The sequence below is a fragment of the Homo sapiens genome, chromosome 3 (genome assembly GCF_000001405.40).
Source record: "Homo sapiens chromosome 3, GRCh38.p14 Primary Assembly".
Classification (NCBI taxonomy): domain Eukaryota; kingdom Metazoa; phylum Chordata; class Mammalia; order Primates; family Hominidae; genus Homo; species Homo sapiens.
The window spans coordinates 111,994,913-112,014,186 of NC_000003.12; the positions used below are offsets into that span (position 1 = coordinate 111,994,913).

Sequence of the window (19,274 nt, forward strand, 5' to 3'; positions counted from 1 at the left end):
AAATTGCAGGCAATTTTTTTTAACCAAATGTATCTTTTGGGGAAAATATACATTCCCATTTTGTCTTCCCCTTTTCCTAGGCTTTCAGGGTTTTGCAGGTAAACTTCTACTAAAGAAGAAGCTCAAAAGTCAGTCTCTCAGAATCCTTTCCTTACTCATCCCCATCTCTCTTTTTCAGGAAGTTTGTTGCTGGGTCCTCTGGGCTCTCTTGTGAACAGTACTCTATCCATGCCTTTTTGGTACCACTTGCTGCTTTGAAATTCTCAGTTTATATCCTAGCTTCCTTCTCTCAAAGGATGACCAAGGTCAGAAGCTTTATTTTGACATTGTTTGTCCTCAGACACCTCTGACTATGCTATATCAACCCCTTTACTGGCTCCTCCTCCTTGCCCACCTTATAATGTTAATACTCCTTGAGTTCTGGCCTTGGCAGTCTTCTCTTGCTACTTATTCACCTTGAGGAACATCACCCATGTTCATGGTTTAAACTACTACCTGCTTGCAGGTGACTCAACTACATACCTACAATCTAGACTCTTGAGCTCCAGACCCATAAAACCAACTGCCTAATGAACTGGGATGGACCATGGGCTTCCCAAATGCAGTAAATCCAAACCTTATTATCTTTTCTGCTTTATGTCTCTCCCCACCTATGAGTCCTCTTAAAATAAATGGCGCCACCATTGCTTCTGTTATACAAGTCAAACTTGTGAGTCATTCTGTCTCCTTTTCCTTTACCCAAATCAGATTGATGATCCTCTCTCTCTATGAAAAAGCTCAAACTCTTGCATGATATGTGAGTCCATGAAAGGCTGGTTTAACAAACAAAAACCAGTTGCTGAAAGCCAGTTTAACAACTGGCTTTTGGTGGTGGGGTGGAAGCCCTGATTTGTAGCATTTGCTAACATTCACAGCATAAATATTCCTGCCCTGGCTGGTTTTAAACTACATCATGACATCTCTGAATGCAAAGCTGGAAGAAAATACCCAGTAGCACACCATCACATAGTATTTACACCATATAGAGACAATAAACGCAAATATCCTCAACATAGCTAACAGTAAAATGTAGCAAAAAAATCAGGAAGTGCTTCATTTTTAGTAACTTTTCTTTGTAATATAACTTATTTAAGAGTAAGTTAATATAACCTTATTGCTAAGAATGACTGAGTTTAGCATCTGTCTCTTGAAATTCCTGAAAATTTAACCATGGGCACTTGCAAACACACCATTTTATAATCTGGAGCCTGCCTGACATTCCAGCCTCATTTTTCTTTCTATGTTTCTCTTCTCTTTAACCCTATGTTTTATTAATACTGGAAGATTTTCACCTTAAATACACTTCTTTTGACAGCAACATTCCCTACCCCTCTTGCCTCACTCTATCCACCTGGCAAACACCTACTTGTCTTTCAAGACTTAAAATAATCTCATTTATAAATCTGTCCCCTGATTCCTTAACACCCTCCTCCAGGTATTATTGTACCAACCTGAGTTCTTTGTGCATAATTTTAGCATGACATCTGGCATTTATTGTTTACAAGTTTAACTTCGTTACTAAACCAAATTGTCATGTATCATTTATTTTTGTGTCTCAGCTATACACATAGGCCCTTAAAAAGTTGTTGAGGCCAGGCGCGGTGGCTCACGCCTGTAATCCCAGCTCTTTGGGAGGCTGAGGCGGGCGGATCACGAGGTCAGGAGATTGAGACCATCCTGGCTAACATGGTGAAAACCCCGTCTCTACTAAAAATACAAAAATAAGCTAGTTGTGGTGGCTCATGCCTGTAATCCTCGCTACTTAGGAGGCTGAGGCAGGAGAATCACTTGAACTAGGGAGTCAGAGGTTGCAGTGAGCTGAGATCACACCATTGCGCCCCAGCCTGGCCACAGAGTGAGACTCCGAATCAAAAAAAAAGAAAGAAAAAGTTGTTGAAAACATTAACTATAATACTAGTAGGCACTTAGTAAATGTGGCATTGAGCTGATTTCCACTGTCACCCCTGAGGAGATGAAGCATTTTTTCTCTGAAGACTTCCTCTGGATTTCTGGACACTTCCATGCCCTGCTGTGGCCCCTCTCTTTGCCATTGTATCCTCTCTAGAAGCATGGGCCCAGTCATTCACTTAAAGCACACCAGCTACTCTGTTATAATATGAGGGACTCTTTGGGTACAAAAGATTTGCAAAACACAGTGTTTAAAAAAAGTCAAGCAAATGTACATCTTTAGAATTGTTTCAAGCTTTGCATATCAAACCAACAACTTCCTTAGAGCCATTCCAGCCATGGAAAAAATTATGTGGTTTCTGTTTGGGACTCCGTTCCCTTAGTCTAAGGTTGGAACTAGCCTTATGGCTCCTCCCCAAGATACCAATGATGACTTCCATAATTCTTCTGTCAATTTCCCTGCTCTAAGCTCTTCCCCTAAGCTCCAAGTGTCCCAACACAGTGCTGCTGTCTTTTGAGCTTCTTCAACTGATGATTCCATGCAGCATCAAGACCTGCCTTAGTCAGCCCTTCCCTTGTCTCTTCCTAAACCTACTGCTCTCCTGAATCTCCTAGTTTTCTGTTTTCAGAGGACTGTCTGCCAGGCCTTCAACGACTGACCGCTAAGTCTTTTTCAGGCAAACCACCCACATATCTCCTAAGTAATTAAATTTTCATTAGTCCAGGCATCAGCCGGTAGGAGATTTTTCTCAATACATGTATTATTTGAGGAGTCATTTCCTGCATAGCTTCTAATCAATTTCCCACAGGGACAAAGATCATCATCCCATGTACCCAGAATTGCTTTATTTAATATGCTTGAGTCAATTTATCAATCTGTTTTCAATGCAAGAATTGTATTTTATTCCTCCTCAGTCCAGTAGTTGGCATAAACACTCAGTAAATATCTGTTGAATGAAGAAATGAACCAAACGAAAAAAAATGTGGAATTTTTCTCATGAAAAACACCCAGAGAATTACACAACACCAATGAGACTCAATCTTTACCCACAAATGGCTTACAGTCTAGGAGGACAAACTGCCAAGCCCTTTAGCTGTTATAAAAATGTGGGGCCAACTTAGAGCTAATGGTTTCTCCTGAGTGCTTGTTTGCCCATGAGAAATATTCAGTTACTTCTGACAATATGTCGGTTGTGCCTTCACGGTCCTTACTTCAGATGAAGTCTTTACATTCTATCAAAACCTTTCACTCTAAGAGTTCTTAGTCGTTGAGTTTTGTTTAATTTATAAAACTTGCCGGGCGTGGTGGCTCATGCCTGTAATCCCAGAACTTTGGGAGGCCGAGGCAGTCAGATCACCTGAGGTCAGGAGTTCAAGACCAGCCTGACCAACGTGGCAAAACCCCATCTCCACTAAAAATACAAAAATTAGCCAGGCCTGGTGGCACACACCTGTAATCCTAGCTACCTGGGAGGCTGAGGCAGGAGAATCGCTTGAACCCAGGAGGCAGAGGTTGCAGCCAGCCGAGATTGTGCCACTGCACTCCAGCCTGGGCAACAGAGCGAGACTCTGTCTAAAAATATATAGTAAGAATTATAATAATAATTTATAAAACTTGTTCTTAGTGTCTTTCAGTTAAGAGTAGCATGAAAAAAATACCTCCCTTGAATAAGTCAAACTGAGGCACAACAGTTTCAGGATGGAAGTTTCTGGGTGAAGTTGGGCTGGCAGCTGAACAAGTAAATGATAGCAGCTCTCAGTCCCTCCCCTCCTGTCCTGCCAGACAGTTGTTACCTCAGGGCAGGGGGAAAGTAGCTTGGCTATTCCCGACAGATGGACAGTTGGTAGAACGGACCCTCCCACAGGCCCTCATCCCCTTGTGCAGCTGCTGGCCTCGTAGACAATCGGCTGTCTCCCCAGAAGAGGGAAAGAATTGTGCAGATGAGAAAGAGGCTCTCAGCGGGAGGGAGGCAGGCGGGCTTGATTGACACAGGAGAGGGCTGGCTTTTTGGAGGGCTCTTAGCAACGGCCCTGGTTGAGCCCCCTCAGCCATGAGAAAATCAAATCAATGTGCCATTCTTCCAGGCGCGAGGCAGCAGCGGCTGCAGTTCAACATGAAAGGAGGCTTCCTCCCTGCCTGCTAATTACCTGCTCTTCCCGATCTCATCGTTTCTGCCTTTGCAAAGTGCTACTGAGAAGGGGGAAGAAACGTCCGCCACCCATCCCCCTTGCTGCCTGGGGGTTCAGACTTGATTGTGAGTCCGTGTTATATCATCTGGTCTCATTGATAGGCGGGATAGGGAGGGGGATTCCAGCCCCCCTGGACCGGCCGGAGGTTTATTCTAGAGTTACTGGCGGGTAGCTGTGCTTTTCTTTCCCGTTTGTAGGTGAAACCCCATTGGCTTCATTGGCTCCTTGATTTAAACCACGCCCGGCTTTCTGCCCTCTTTGCTGCTGCTGGGCCAGGTTGCCCAGCCATATCCCAGCCCCGTCTGCAGGGAGCCGGAGGCTGCTGCTGCTGCTATTGTGTGGATGCCGCGCGTGTCTTCTCTTCTTTCCAGAGATGGCTAACAGGGGCCCGAGCTATGGCTTAAGCCGAGAGGTGCAGGAGAAGATCGAGCAGAAGTATGATGCGGACCTGGAGAACAAGCTGGTGGACTGGATCATCCTGCAGTGCGCCGAGGACATAGAGCACCCGCCCCCCGGCAGGGCCCATTTTCAGAAATGGTTAATGGACGGGACGGTAAGGCCGGCAGCGATCTCGGTTGCTGGGGCGGTGGGCAGGGAAACCCTCCAGGGCCCTTTCTTTTAACGTAAGGCTGCGGGAAGAGCTGCTGTTGCCAAGCTCTATGTCTCACCGGGAGGGGATGAGAATGCCTTTATTTCTTCAGGGTTGGAAGATTTGGGCTCCATGCACTATTCCCTAGCTAGCTTGGGGGTTCTCCACTCACCCTAGCATTACATCTCCCTTCTGAGTTGGCAAATTCGAAGCCCTTTTGATTTTTCTAATGAGAATAGAGATAAGTATGTCCTTGTAATTTCCCCAGCCTTCCTGGTGCATCAGCTCTTCTGGGGCCATTTCTTTCCCTAGGGGATCGTGTTGGTTACACAGTAAAACAAAGAAGGGAGGAGGGGGACTAGCCACCTTCACATTCTTGTGGGAGCCATGCACCCTGGAAGTGTTCAGTGTCTGTTTATTGAGTGGATGCGTTCTCATGAAACTGAAAGGAGTCCTTATTTGTTAACTGCATTTCTGACCAAATGCTCGTGTGTGTTTGAGGGTTTGAGGGCCGCAGGCTCTGTGATTCAAACAAGCCCATCCTTTCCTGCAGTCTGTGATTTACTGTTACATAACTGCTATCCAATGCTTCTGCTGGGTTGCCCAGAGCTTGGGTTATATATATATATCTGGGAAAAAGGTACCACATCCACTTCTTTTACACATTGTTAAAATATATGGGATGAGTAAATTGAAGCCTGCTTAATTTGCCTTTTGATAGAAGAAATAATATTAGACTCTATCATTTGAGCTCTGCCAACCTCAGGAGCCACTAAGTCATTCCTCCTTTGAAAGTCTAGAATCACGTCCTCATCACGTCACATCATTCCCTATCTGTAAACATCCTTTCCCTCATCCAGAAAAAGGAAGGGAGGAACAGGGAGGGAATGGCGCTCCCAGGCTACAGGAATCTCTGTAGTAAGGAGCAGCATTAGGAATGGGGTCCTCTGGGTCTTTGGGGCTTAGTATAGGAGCCTGGCTACACAGCCCAGAGCCCGTGCCTTCCTAGGGCCCATGACTTGCTCCTGCCCAAACTGGATGAGCAGTGTCCCACGTGAGCAGGATTCACTTCTCATTCTTGACCTGTAAATACAAAGGGAAACATTGATTCTGTCTCTCCCCTCCCTCTTCAGGTCCTGTGCAAGCTGATAAATAGTTTATACCCACCAGGACAAGAGCCCATACCCAAGATCTCAGAGTCAAAGATGGCTTTTAAGCAGATGGAGCAAATCTCCCAGTTCCTAAAAGCTGCGGAGACCTATGGTGTCAGAACCACCGACATCTTTCAGACGGTGGATCTATGGGAAGGTAAACAGCCCCCTGGCCTTTGGGATTGTTCTTTTCTTCTCTCCTTTGCCCCATCTCCTTGTAAAAACTGCTCACAGTGTTCTTCCCTGTGCCGATTGATGTGTGTAAGATGCTCTCAGCTGTTATCCTGGGGGCAGTGTTTGCCTTCCCCATTGTTATGTTCTATTAAAAGGAGGTACCCTCTTCTAATGGAACACACACCCTGAGGACACAGAGGGGATCTCAGCAACTAATGTAAACAGAAGCCTCAAGCTAGAGGAAGCTAACGGTGACATACTGCCTTTTATTCCTCTTACCACTCCCATAACAAATCACAGCTACCAGAGGAGAAGGGAGGCAGGGGGCCAGTGTGCTTCTTGCTCAACTGCAGCTTATAGACAAAGCCATCTGGGGCTATTTTGTCAATCTGAGAAATAGATAGCACTCCAACCTTTTGTTAAACCTTTATCTGGGAGCTTGGTGACTATGCCTTCCAGATATGCATTCTGCTCAGTGTGACAAGTGCTTGTTTCCTTCACATTTGTGAATTGACTTGCTGAGGAAATCTTACAAAAGCATAAAAATCAAATCACACTCCTGGATGTATTTAATGATCTGCCATTACTGGGGGAAATGATGTGAATGGAGACACTGCCAGAGAATTTGGGACCTATGGTCATGGTGTCGTTAATGTCCCCTTTAGCGAAAATGTGTATACCCAACCATATGACTGTGTTCCTTCTCCACTAGGCCTGCCTGAGGCACCAAGAGATACCAACTAGTCAGAGCAGGACTGTCAGATTGACTCTGCTCTCACATGCTCTTTGTCACTGGCTGTCATTAGTGGCCCAACCAACAGGATCCCCAGGGCAGTGACCCAAATGGCTCTGCTGAGAGTGAGAATGGGGTAGCTTTCCCCTGATGGAGAGACATGGTATTTTAAAGGGTATTCAGATGATGGTTGAAATAGATTTCTAGCAGAGGACCATTCTACTACTCACCACACTATGATTTATAAAGAAACAATTGCCTCCTTAATCCTCGGCGTCATGCAAAGAGCTGGCATTGCATGTTTCCCTCATAGGTGAGTGGTTAAAATCCTACGATGCTAATAAGTTTACCTTGTGGTTTGCCATTATTTAGAAACTCAGATATTCAAAACTGCAGGCCAGGCCAGGCTATGGATCTTGCTGTTGAGCCTCCAAATTCTCATGTAATTTCACAGTTGAGATTTGATCCTTGCTTCCTCGATCAAAACTATGATGATTTTTTCTAGCTAATACAGATAGCTACATAGCTACTGCTTATTGATGTTTTCCTATGCACAAGGCATTGTACAAGTGCTTTATTGCATAATGTCAGTCAGTTCTGCTAACAATCCTATGAGGTAAATGTTTTTTAATTTCCCCATTTCAAAGATGATGATACTGAAGCTTGCCCATGATTTCTTGTGTCCATGAGATAGCAGAGCCAGAATTCAAACCTGGGCTCTCTGACAGCAAAGAATAGAGCCTTAACTAGTCTGCCAACCCATTCTTGAGCCAGGAGGCTTAGTTTCCTTCACCTACACCGTGAGTGTGCTGTTGAATCATAATGGTGACTAGGTGATGAGGATGAAGAGGAGGTGGGGGAGGAGGTGAGGAGGAGGAAGATGACTCAGGACTGTGTAGGACAGAAGGATAGGAGAGTCAGTGTGAATGGAAGGGACCCGGGTGAGTCCCCCCCCCACCCCACAAAGTGCAGGAAGTGTGTGGGAGGAGGAAGAAGCCAGGAGGTCTGTGGGAGGTGAGGATTCTGAGAGCTTTCCTGTCTTCATGCTACTGAGGATGCTTTACTTGTCTCTCCCCTTTTTACAAAGAACACAAAGGTAAACTTTACTCGTCAGAGGTGCTCACAGCAAGTGTGGAGGAGTGTAGGGAGAAATAGTCCCTGATGTACAGAGTCGGAGGAGGTATACACCACCTGCCCCAGACCCGTGTGTTAGACTCCTCTAAAGAAAGAGGGAGGCCTGGAGGGATGAGTGTGGTCGCCTGAGCCAGGGCCGTGGACCAGTCAGCTCCAGGGCAACAAGACAGACACTAAGACTCCCAGCCCTAGGGTAGAAAAATGGGGCTTTAAAGGAAATAAGGAAGGAGGTCCACTCCAAGGGCACCTGGGCTGACAGGTAGCAGGAAGAACTGTAGGTAGGTCATGCAGTAGGTAGGGTTGAACAGGAGAGCTGTCAATAGGAAAGCAGGTGCTTCAGAGTTTCCAAATGGCCCCAAGAGGCCCCAGGGTCTGGTGGCTGACTCTATGGAATGGCCAAAGTCCAGGGAGATTCATTATAAGTTGGAGGGGATATCTGATATTCCCCAGGATCACTGTCTGAAGCTTAGGCCAATGCTGGTCACCATACAACAGGGCAGGAGGTACAAAAGTGGGTCGCTTTGAGCAGAGAAGCAGGAAGAGGGAGGGGAAGGCTGACAGTACTGCAGAGCAGACTGAGCAAGTGAGGCTGGGGTCCTTTCTGCAAGAACTGGTTGTTGCTCATGTGTTTTGGCATAAGAAAGCTGAAATCAAAGGAATGCTGCGGGGCAGGGTTGGCACGTGTTATGTGTCTATGTGCATGTGAGGGGGTACATGTTTGTGCACACAGCTATTAGACTAGCTGTTTGCTTAGCTTAGTCCCACATTCTCCCTACTATTCTCTACCTTGACTGTGGTTTTAATGCTGTCCTCACATATCAACTTACATTAATTCTGGATTCCCTGCACCTTGGTTGTGGTGTCTGTGGCCACTGTGGCTCCAGCCCTCCTTGCCTAGGAGCTTCTTTTCCTCCTCTGCAAGTATTTCATGCCCAACCTCTCACTCTCCCATCTCCCCTACTCAGTGTCTTCTCCCAAGTAGGGCTCTGCTTGCCCACAGCTGCCCTCTGACTCTTCAGGCTGCCTGGATGTTGCAAACCCGTAAGTCTGGAGGAGCCCAGGCTTGCCAAATGCATTCTTGTTTAGGCTTCAATCACTTCTATAGGCTGAGGCCCCAGATGTACCACTATCCTTAATCCCCCCAGGTGAAATACTTCAGATAGACTGCAGGGTAATTGGAATACAAGATTGAAGGCTTTAAAATGAAACCCAAAGCTAAATGGTCCAGAAAAACAACACAATCACAGGGACATTATAGATAAAGCTACTGAAGTCCCCCTAGCAGGGAGCTGGGGTGACCACTTGCTTTCAGTGATGGAGAAGAAGTAGGGTGGCTTAGAGGAATGGAAGGGGCCTGGGAAGTCTTCTCTTGGAAAACAGAAGGTGAATGGCCTGGCAGATTACTTTTGGATTTGCCATGGGTGCCCTGGAAAGGGCAGGGGTGGGGCCATCTCAGCTGTCTATGATTCAGAAGAAAGTACTCTGCAGGTAAGACTTCAGCATCTTTTCTGTGGACAGAAAGTGGGAAAGGAAGAAAAGGCAGAGCAAGAAAGGTGGGGGGCGGGGGGTGTGTGTAAGAGAGAGAGAGAACATATTAGAGCAAGTGAGTGTGCTGGTGTAGTATCAGGACAGAAAGACTGCAATACAAGCTTATCCTGGAAAGTATTACAGGAGAGTACAGGCTCCTGAGTCAGAAATTAGACTGCCTGGCCAAACCTGTGCTCTACCACTTATCAATTAACTTCTCTAAGCCTCGATTTTCTCAGTTGTAAAGTGGGGATAATCATATGTATTTCACAGGGTTGATATGGAAAGTAAACAAGATAGTTCATTAGAAGTGTTTAGCATGGTTCATGATGATAGTAGAAGATAATAAAAGTTGGTAATGTAGAAATTATTATTGTCATTGGCTTGTCTTTTCTAAGATTAACAGAAAATAAGGGAGGGAAAAGTAAGTCTGGAAAGACACTCACTCTGTCTTAGAACAAATGGACTTAGTGGCCACATACAGGAGCTGGTGTTGCGGGGGCGGGGGAGGTTGCCTGAATGACCTTTGCCCTCTCTGACAGCTGTGGAGCTTGTACCTCATCAGATATTCTCTAATACAAATGACCAGGCTTTAGGCATCACTTTATTGACATTTTTTTCCACTTTGTGATCATTACCCTCTTGATGTCTTTCCCCATAATTTACTGCTTTACTAATTCCAGACACAGAAGACCCCACTACACTGGAAAGAGCATGAGTTTTGGAGTCAGGTGGATGGGTTCAAATCTCTTTTGCTACATACTAACTGTGTGACCTTGTTTAAATTGCCTAGTTTCTCAGAGCCTCAGTTCCCTTCTCGGTAAACAGTTCTAATGCCTCTCTTTTGTAGAATTTTTGTAAGGATTAACTATGTAAAGAAGCTAGCACAGTGCCTGGCTACCAGACACCTAATAAATGTTGGCTTTCCCCCCCACACTATTAGTCATTCAGCAACTGATCTTTTTGGTTCATTTGTATAACCACTTGATGTGCATTAAACGTATAAAATTCTAGAATGTCAGAGCAGGCAAGACTCACAGATCGATCAGTCTCATGGCTCTTCTTAGTAATTCTACTGGTATGGATCCTGAACACATGGTGATGTCATGCCTGTTCCCCCTTTGATGACTGGGAGTTAGGGAGGTGTGGTTTACATTGGAAGGGCCTGGAGGTTCAAATATATTCTCTGGGAAGGCGTCACTTTATGTGTCATTCCTCAACAGCAAGAGTGAAGAGGTATTTCACACAGCATGAGAGATCTTTTGGGATATTGTAAGTAAAGTACCTGTAATGACTTGAGACATCACAAGTGTCTGCTGCTCGAAGCCTAATTTTCTTTTTTTTCTTTTTTTTTTTTTTTGAGATGGAGTCTCACTCTGTCGCCCAGGCTGGAGTTCAGTGGCCTGATCTCGGCTCACTGCAAGCTCCGCCTCCCAGGTTCACGGCATTCTCCTGCCTGAGCCTCCTGAGTAGCTGGGACTTACAGGTACCTGCCACCACGCCCGGCTAATTTTTTTTTTATTTTTAGTAGAGAAGAGGTTTCACTGAGTTAGCCAGGATGGTCCAATTTTTTTTTTATTTTTAGTAGAGAAGAGGTTTCACTGAGTTAGCCAGGATGGTCTTGATCTCCTGACCTCGTGATCCGCCCACCTCGGCCTCCCAAAGTGCTGAGATTACAGGCGTGAGCCACCGCGCCTGGCCTGGAAGCCTCATTTTCTATCAGAGCAGCCGTCACTGCATTTATTTCAAGTGGCTGCTGACGATTGTATTTGGTGGGTCTTTCCTTTAGCAATGGCTCTCTAATGCCAGCATGCATCGGAATCACTAGGTAGGCCTGTTAAAGCACAGACTGCTAAGCCCCAACAGCAGAGTTTCTGAGGTAATATGTCTGAGGTGAGGCCAAGAATTTGTATTTCTTACCAATTCACAGACCATATTGATTCTGCTGGTCTGGGAACCCCACTGTAAGAGCCACCACCCAGAGCAGTGGGAGTCAGGGAGGCAAGCAACAAACATTTACAAAATCCACAGAGCAAACCCAACCTCACCCCTGATATTTCTCCCTTGACTGTTGCAATATTTTGGTCTACCTTCAGTGGAGAATTGGAAGCTAGGCCAAAGTTATTATTCAGGGAAATAAGACATGGTTTCATACACTACTGCTTACTTTCTCTGTAAGTCCAAGAAAGATGGAAAAATCCAGTATTCTAAGAGTTACAAGGCTGAGTCAAGACTGATATATAATAGAAGTATAATAGCTCTGAGACAAAGAACTTTGACTGCAAGACTGATTTTTTGTATTAAAAGTAGAAATAGAAAGTAGAGACTGTCCAATCCAAGTTGACACACCCAAATGACTTCTCTTTTACCTTTTTTCTTTGCCTTTATCCTTTTCATTTACTTTTTATTTTCATAGACATACATAAGATACCTTGGAAGTAATAAAGAATTTAATGGAACAAAATCCTTGTTAAAGTATCTTTATAGCATTAAGAATTCCTGGGTTGGGGCCTTACAATGCAGAACCTCCAGTCCTACTCCCCAGGAGTTATAACTTAGTAATATGGGGTGCAGGATCACACTTTGGATAACATTACTTTGTGACAATGTAGGAAATAGGGAGCTCTGTATTGTCAAGTAAAGCTGTCAGTTGCTAGGTGAGACTCTTGCTGAAAACACTTGCCAGGTGAGACAGAGAAAGCTACCATACCATCAGCTCCTTTTTTGTTTAAGACTAATATTTTCAAGGAGTTTTAGGGTCACAGCAAAATTGAGAGGAAGGTACAGATATTTTCCATATGCCCTCTCTCCCCCACAAATGCACAGCCTTCCCCATTATCAACATCCCCTACGAAAGGAGCACATATTGCAAGTAATCAGCCTACATTGGCACATCATTATCATCCAAAATACATAGTTTACATTAGGTTCACTCTTGCTGTTATACATTCTATGCATTTGGGCAAATGTATAATGACGCATATTCATCATTGCGGTGTCATATCAAGTACTGCCCTAAAAAGCTTCTGTGCTTTGCCTTTTCATCCCTCCCACCCTCAACCCTGGCAACCACTGATCTTTTTACTGTCTCAAGAGTTTTGCCTTTTCTAGTATGTCATAAAGTAGGAATCATACAGTATGTATGCTTTTCAGATTCCACCAGCTCTTAGATAACCAGACTCTATCTCATTTTTGCTATCCCTCCATCCAGAAAATTCCCGACACTTAGTTGATCCTTCTTTGAGGAATGTTTTTCTGTTCTTGGAAGAATGGCCTGGAGCAGTGGCTTTCAAGCTCACTTGAGGAGCCCCAGCCATCTACCAAAGCATCCAGGGTGGCTGTCAGGGAGCAAAGCCATTCCAAGCTGCAGGGCTCTGGGCTGACTTCCAACTTGGAACAGAGCTTTTCTAATTATCGCTTTTACTTTTGACTTTGTGGAGGATATCTCTGAAGAAAGGAGTTATTGCTTAACAAATATTACTTAGTACTTACCACATGGCAGACATGGGGATGTTTTTAAACATTGAAAACCAAAGCTTTAGAGTAGTATCTGCTTGTCCATCTGGCTGCCTCACAATCATCCCAGGAGACTGCCCCAGAATCTGAATATTTAAGATTCTTGGGTAATCCTGAAGATCAGTTTAGCTTGCAAATCACCAGGCAACACCTATAACTCTCAAACTTGCCTGAAGATATGAATCACCCAGGAAGCTTATTAAAAATATGGACTCCCAGAATTTACCAAATCATTCTCTCAGGAGAATGACCTCAAAATGCATATTTTAAAAGAGATGCCCCCCTGCAAACTCCCATAAATAATCCAAGAAGCTTGGGAAAGCAGGCTGTGTATGGCCATTTTTTATACTTGCACAATTTTGAAGGCTTTGTCATTAGGCAGATATGACACTTGGTTGTGATACGACTAGTTTTCTTTTCTTGTTTATAAATTTATTTCATTTATCTTATTGTTATTTAGAGACAGGGGTTCCCTCTGTTGCCCAGGCTGGAGTGCAGTGGTGCAATCATAGGTCACTGCAGCCTGAAACTCCTGGGCTCAAGCAGTCTTCCTGCCTCAGCCTCCCAAAGTGTTGAAATTACCGTTGTGAGCCACTGTGCCCAGCCTTTTGTTGTTTTATACTTCGTGCACATCACAGAGCTTCCTTAACCTCAGCGCTTTTTTATGCACTTAAATTTTTGACCCCCAGTTGCAGAAATCAGCTTCTACAAGTGGCCCTGACTCCTGTGTGCCACTCTCATCCAATGGTGCTTGATGTGGGCTTCTGAACTGGCAAAACAAGACAGGGAAGGCTGGAAAGAGGCCCTCTTCCCATCTTGTCAGTCCAAGAGTGCTGGAATTAGGAAACATAACAAGAATAACATAACAAGAAAGTGAGCTAGATGTGAACTGGTTCCAGAAGGCAGATTTCTGGTCATAGTGTTATTTAGAATTTTGGCAATCATTAACTTAGTGTACTAGTCCATTTTTGTTGCTTTAAAGGAATATTTGAGACTGGGTAATTCATAAAGAGGTTTTATTTTAGCTCACGGTTCTGCAGAGTGTACAGGAAGTGTGGTGCTGGCACCTGCTTCTGGCAAGGGCCTCAAGAAGCTTACAATCATGGTGGAAGGCGAAGGGGAGCCAGTATGTCACATGGTGAAAGAGGGAGCAAGAGACAGAAAGTAAAGGTGCCAGGCTCTTAAACAGCCAGATCTTGTGTGAACTCATACATAAGAACTCACTCATTACCATGAGGTCAGCACCAAGCCATTCATGAGGGATCTGCCCTCACGACCCAAACACCTCCTACTAAGCCCACCTCCCACATTGGAGGTCACGTTTCGACATGAGATTTGGAGAGGACAAAACATCCAAATGATATCACTTGGCCAGAACATCAGTAGTGAGGCCCTAACTGCTTTTCTTTGTTTCAGTCTTGTTTGGATGAAGACATGGAGAAACCTAGACAAAAACACTCAAAGACTTATGGGCATTGAGGTTGGTGCCCTTGATTCTACAGGGCCTGAAATCTGTGCTCCAGTTTTATTCCCCTCAGTGTCCCCTCTGGCCTGGCACAAAACAGTCATCATGACCCTTTCAGATCATCCCTGATCGCTGGTTCCTACTGAGGAATGTGCTCCTCATCCAGCCTGCAATGGGGTGCCATGGGAGATGGCAGAGTGGCATGGTGGATTGTTCAAGGGCTTTACATTCAGACAGGTCTGATCTAGAGCTGGGCTCTGTTAACTGATTGGGTGACTCTGGGCATGTTAATTAACCTCTTTGAAATAGTTTTCTCGTCCACACATGAGGAGGAATAATCCCAATTCCATGAGGTTGAGATGACATATACAGTGTCTACCCTATAATTTACATCAAATATCTTGCTTTGGAAAGTTTCTTAAGGAAAAAATTCCAATTTCTTCCTGTCAAATAATGCCCGCTTCCCTAGTGGCTTCTTTCTCAAGTGTAATCACTTCCTTTTCCACTCTCCTGGGATGAGGGTGGAGTTGTGTTGATAGTTCTAGGCTCCTGGATATCTTATCTTAGCCGGCAACTTAGTTCCCTTTGTCCTCTCTGGGTTCATGTAGTAGTCTATATAAGAAGTGTTATATATAACACTTACATATAAGTGTTAGTTCTTATAAGTTCTTATATATAGTCTTATATATAAGAAGTGTTATATAGACTACTACATGAACCCAGAAAGGACAAAGGGAACTAAGTAGGGAACTAAGTGTTGGGAATTTTCTAGATGCAGGGATACCAGGGATGAACTAGCTACTTTGAAGGAGTCTAGTTCTATAGTTTAATAAAACTTTGCTTCTTCATCCGTTGCTCCAGGGTAGTGTCTGTGGGTGATCTGCTGGATGTCAGGCCCCACATTTTCCCAGATCCTGGACATATCAGAATAGCTCTTTCCAACCACCAGAAACAAGTATCCAGGGTGCTCTTTGTAAACAGTAGAGATGAGTGATATACCCTAACCTAAGCCTTCCTTTGCTCATTTATTTCTCTAGGTTCCCTTTAATAGTTCACTGCCTAAGAGCAAGTCCTCTCCCTATCTCTTCACAGAATGAACCTTCAGAATATCATTACTACATTTATATTTTTTAAAAAGTGTCCCATTATATGGTGACAATTACAGAAATGCTTTCACCTGTGGAAGAGTCATTCTAACAACAACTTCTGTGTTTCTTCTTAGTTCTGAATATTCCTTATGCCTTCTCCCTTCTGTCTGCTTCTGAAATACTTCATTCTCCACCACCCCAGTTATTCCTTGAGTCTGGGGGACTATCCATTGACAGCATTTTATCCTTGTATTCACCAACCAGTCCCACAGGGCCTCAGGATTCAGGCAATCACCCTGTGGTTAACATGGGAGGTGGGGGTAGAGGGGAGAGAGGATCAGCTTTCTGTCTCTCCTCTTCGAATAAATGAAGATCCTGAGCTGGACTTCCTCTGAAGGCCTTAATTGTTTATTTTATTACAGTTCATACTCCATTCTCACTTTCCATCTGCCTTTCCCCTGTAATTCTGTATTCCCCAGAGACTGAGCTGCAGCAGCTGGGCCAAAAAACTGCAGACGGTTCACCAGGTCTAAAGAGAGCCTTAATATTTGCCCTTAACTTTCACAGTTCCCCGCCAGGTTAGATGCTGCCTTCCCTTTTAACCCTATGCTTTTTAGCTTTTGTATTCCACACTGGTGCCTTGCATGGACTTTTGGTCTGATTCTAAATTGCAGGCCACCCCCTCAGTAGCATCTTCTCAGTTTAGGACAGGTCAGTCAACTGGAAGAGAAGAAAGGAGAAAGAATGGGAGGAAAGGCTGAGTTGTAAGGCCCAGTTGCTTTCTCCATGGGTTAATGGTCACTGGGCTGCTTAGGTAACAGGGCTCCCCATCCCACTGTGCAGGGGCCACACTGCACATCCCTCTCCCTTGCTCTCCTCTCTGTCACACACAAGCCAGTTGTTTATTGTCTCCATTTAGCTGTTTTCAAGCGGCACAAAATAAAGGCCCTATCACTTGTGTCACATTGAGTGCTTTCTGTGTTGATTTGCTGTTCTTCATTTGCCAGGCCTCTGGCCCAAAGAGCAAAGTGAATACTCAATTTGATGCACATGGATGATTTTATTTATACAGCAACTATGAACGGATTAGAAACTTGGTATCTCTGGTATGTACCATATAGAGAATAATTAACCAGGTTACTTTTTGTTCCTTTCTGAGAAGTTTGGGTATGGTTGTCTTAGGGCCACTTTGGGAGGTGTTTGATAGCACTGCTCCCTTGAATCTGGTCACCTGCAGCCTTCTATCAGAACTTCCCTCCTGGGTGTCCAGCCGTATCCTTCCAGCATTCCTTGGCTCTGACACGTGCTTGGCTTTAAGCTCTTTGTTGGCTTCCAGGGAAGGACATGGCAGCTGTGCAGAGGACCCTGATGGCTTTAGGCAGCGTTGCAGTCACCAAGGATGATGGCTGCTATCGGGGAGAGCCATCCTGGTTTCACAGGTAAAAGCCTCTTCCTTGCCCCCTGGACCACAAGGCGATTTTAACCAGAGGGAGGGTCTGAAGCCTTGGAACTCTACAGAGGCTTTATGTGCAAAGCCCCAGGACCAAGCACTGCTGTCTCCACAACTGAGTTCCCCAAAGCAATGAAAGACTGATGCTTCTGTACAGGCCAGTAACCTAACCAGAGCAGAAATGGTTGGGCCTTTTCTACCAGATACCTCCCAGCTCCACCCAGGTTCTGTTTCTCCTGAGGCTCAGCAGGACTGGATGGCCTTTCTTGAAGGTGGCTTCATGTCTGAACTTGGCTTTATTATGACTTAAGCCAGCTCTGAGCTTTCTTGCCTGCCTGGCTGCTTCCCTCCCTCCCTCCCTCCCTCCCTCCCTCCCTCCCTTCCTTCCTTCCTTCCTTCCTCCTTCCCTCCCTCCCTCCCTCCTTCCTTCCTTCTTTTTTGTTTGTGTACTTAATAAAGGGTAAATATGTCATGTTTGTTTGGAACAGTCATGGTTAATATCTATGTTGTCCCAGTATATCTATTAATAGAACTCTCTTTCACTCTCAACAGCGTCCTAGTCCGGATGACAAATTATATGGTTATCTCTCAGTAAAGGGTCTTTTTTTAAAATGATTTTTTTTTCAGGGGGTAGGGTAGGCAGGAAGCTTAAACTGGGTAATTTAGTTGTAGAAGAGTGCCCTGTGGCAAATAATTGATTATTCATTTCCAGCATCCCCTTTTCTTCTCCTTGACAGTTATTAAAAAAAAAAAAGTTACCAGCTTATGTCATTTTAAAGAACACTCGCCCTGAAAACTTCTGAGAGGTTGGCCATTTGAAACCCTGGTTTTAGTGTCTGTATTATTAGTGAACTACCGTGTTCCCATGTGGCTACACAACCACAATTATGTACTATCTGGCTCTTTACCAAAGTTTGCAGACCTCTAATCTAGAGTGCGACATTTCCCCTCATTAACTCTTAGGTCCCTTGGCTCTAAAAGGGTATATTCATCTTGGCCCTATACAGGGAAAGGGGGAATGGGATTAATGATGTGCTTTGTAAGAAGAACCAATTTTAATTTTCACAAAGGCTTGACGTAGCTGTGAGAGAAAGGGTAAGAAGAAGCAGGCTTCTTCTTAGAAGTCTGAGATGGCCTAAAGTGGTGGGGGAAGAAGGGAGAGTGGGGAGAAAGAGAAACAAGAAAAGCTGAGAGTGAATTCCCCAGAGAGGTAGCCACTGATTCTGCCCTACTCTTTGCTGGAATTCTGGAAAACACCTGGGCTTCTAAAAGATAGGGAGCTCATGCATCATGGTAGGGCCACAGCTCAGGCTAGGGCCAGAGATAGCTCAGAGTAGCGCCACGGCTCAGGGTAGGTCCACAGTGCAGGGTAGGGCCATAGCTCAGAGTAGGGCCATAGCTCATAACCACAGCTCAGGGTAGGACCTGCTGATCTATTTGGGGACCCCCAGCAGAGCCTGTCTAATTGCATATCTTGAAAAGGATTGGAAAACTGTCATAATGACATTATTCCCTCTCACTTTCCTTGTCCAGGAAAGCCCAGCAGAATCGGAGAGGCTTTTCCGAGGAGCAGCTTCGCCAGGGACAGAACGTAATAGGCCTGCAGATGGGCAGCAACAAGGGAGCCTCCCAGGCGGGCATGACAGGGTACGGGATGCCCAGGCAGATCATGTAGGACGCGGCATCCTGCCCCTGGTAGAGAGGACGAATGTTCCACACCATGGTCTCTACGAAAAAGAAATAGTTAGTCACCTTCTGACCTTCTCCTCTTTCTCAAAGCCTTCTGTCCCTGGTTTTTGCAAGTGCTGCATTTCCGCCGAGAATCCGCGTTGCCTACTGCTGCCACCTCCTGTTCATTTAGAACTATGCAAAGACTCCGCTTCCGTTTTCCTGAGCTCCTCGGGCCCCAGAGTCTCTGTTTGATTATTTATTTATTTATTTATTTATTTGCCAAAAATTCTCCTCTTCAACTTATAGAATGCACCTAATAAAGTAATTAGTCTTGTGTCTTACAGTGTAAAGTTCATTCTTTCTCTTAAGGACTCCACAGTCCGGACTGGTTTCTCTTCCATTCAAAGGCCAGAAAGATGGAATTAAGCTTAAGCTGCAGCTGAGCAATATAGGTTAGCTATGAGGACGCTCTTGCAAGATTATCGCGTTTATCTTGGCAATTGGAATAGAAAGTTTAGGAGTCATTTCGCCCACTCTGAGAGCCTAGAGACATAAGTTCAAGAACAAAGTCTTTGACCACAACAAGTTTTTGAGCATGTACTTTGTGCTTATTGTGCTAGACCTGTAGAGGACACAGCC

At 44.9% G+C, this 19,274-nt stretch overlaps 1 protein-coding gene across 3 annotated transcripts, besides 2 other annotated features; it reads left to right on the top strand.

Moving 5' to 3' along the window:
- Positions 1-4,009: 4,009 nt before the first annotated feature.
- TAGLN3 (transgelin 3) lies at positions 4,010-18,973 on the top strand. Of its 3 annotated transcripts, none has more exons than NM_013259.3 (5): positions 4,010-4,202; positions 4,335-4,690; positions 5,860-6,034; positions 16,851-16,953; positions 18,498-18,973. In NM_013259.3, exons 2-5 carry the CDS (start codon positions 4,511-4,513, stop codon positions 18,637-18,639), a joined length of 600 nt encoding a protein of 199 aa, NP_037391.2. In that variant the 5' UTR covers positions 4,010-4,202; positions 4,335-4,510; the 3' UTR covers positions 18,640-18,973. The 3 variants fall into 3 exon arrangements, with proteins under 3 accessions (NP_037391.2, NP_001008273.1, NP_001008274.1); NM_001008272.2 differs by having other exon boundaries at positions 4,509-4,690; NM_001008273.2 differs by lacking the exon at positions 4,010-4,202 and having other exon boundaries at positions 4,421-4,690.
- Positions 5,925-6,552: an enhancer, noted in NCBI's record as "NANOG hESC enhancer chr3:111719684-111720311 (GRCh37/hg19 assembly coordinates)". NCBI's record gives its function as "activates a minimal SCP1, AML or CMV promoter by ChIP-STARR-seq in naive H9 embryonic stem cells {active_cell/tissue: H9 hESC(naive)}" and the evidence as "EXISTENCE:reporter gene assay evidence [ECO:0000049][PMID:30033119]".
- Positions 7,033-8,232: an enhancer, noted in NCBI's record as "P300/CBP strongly-dependent group 1 enhancer chr3:111720792-111721991 (GRCh37/hg19 assembly coordinates)". NCBI's record gives its function as "activates an origin of replication core promoter dependent on BRD2, BRD4, P300/CBP, MED14 and CDK7 cofactors, with strong dependence on P300/CBP, by STARR-seq in HCT116 cells {active_cell/tissue: HCT116}" and the evidence as "EXISTENCE:reporter gene assay evidence [ECO:0000049][PMID:35650434]".
- Positions 18,974-19,274: the final 301 nt, after the last annotated feature.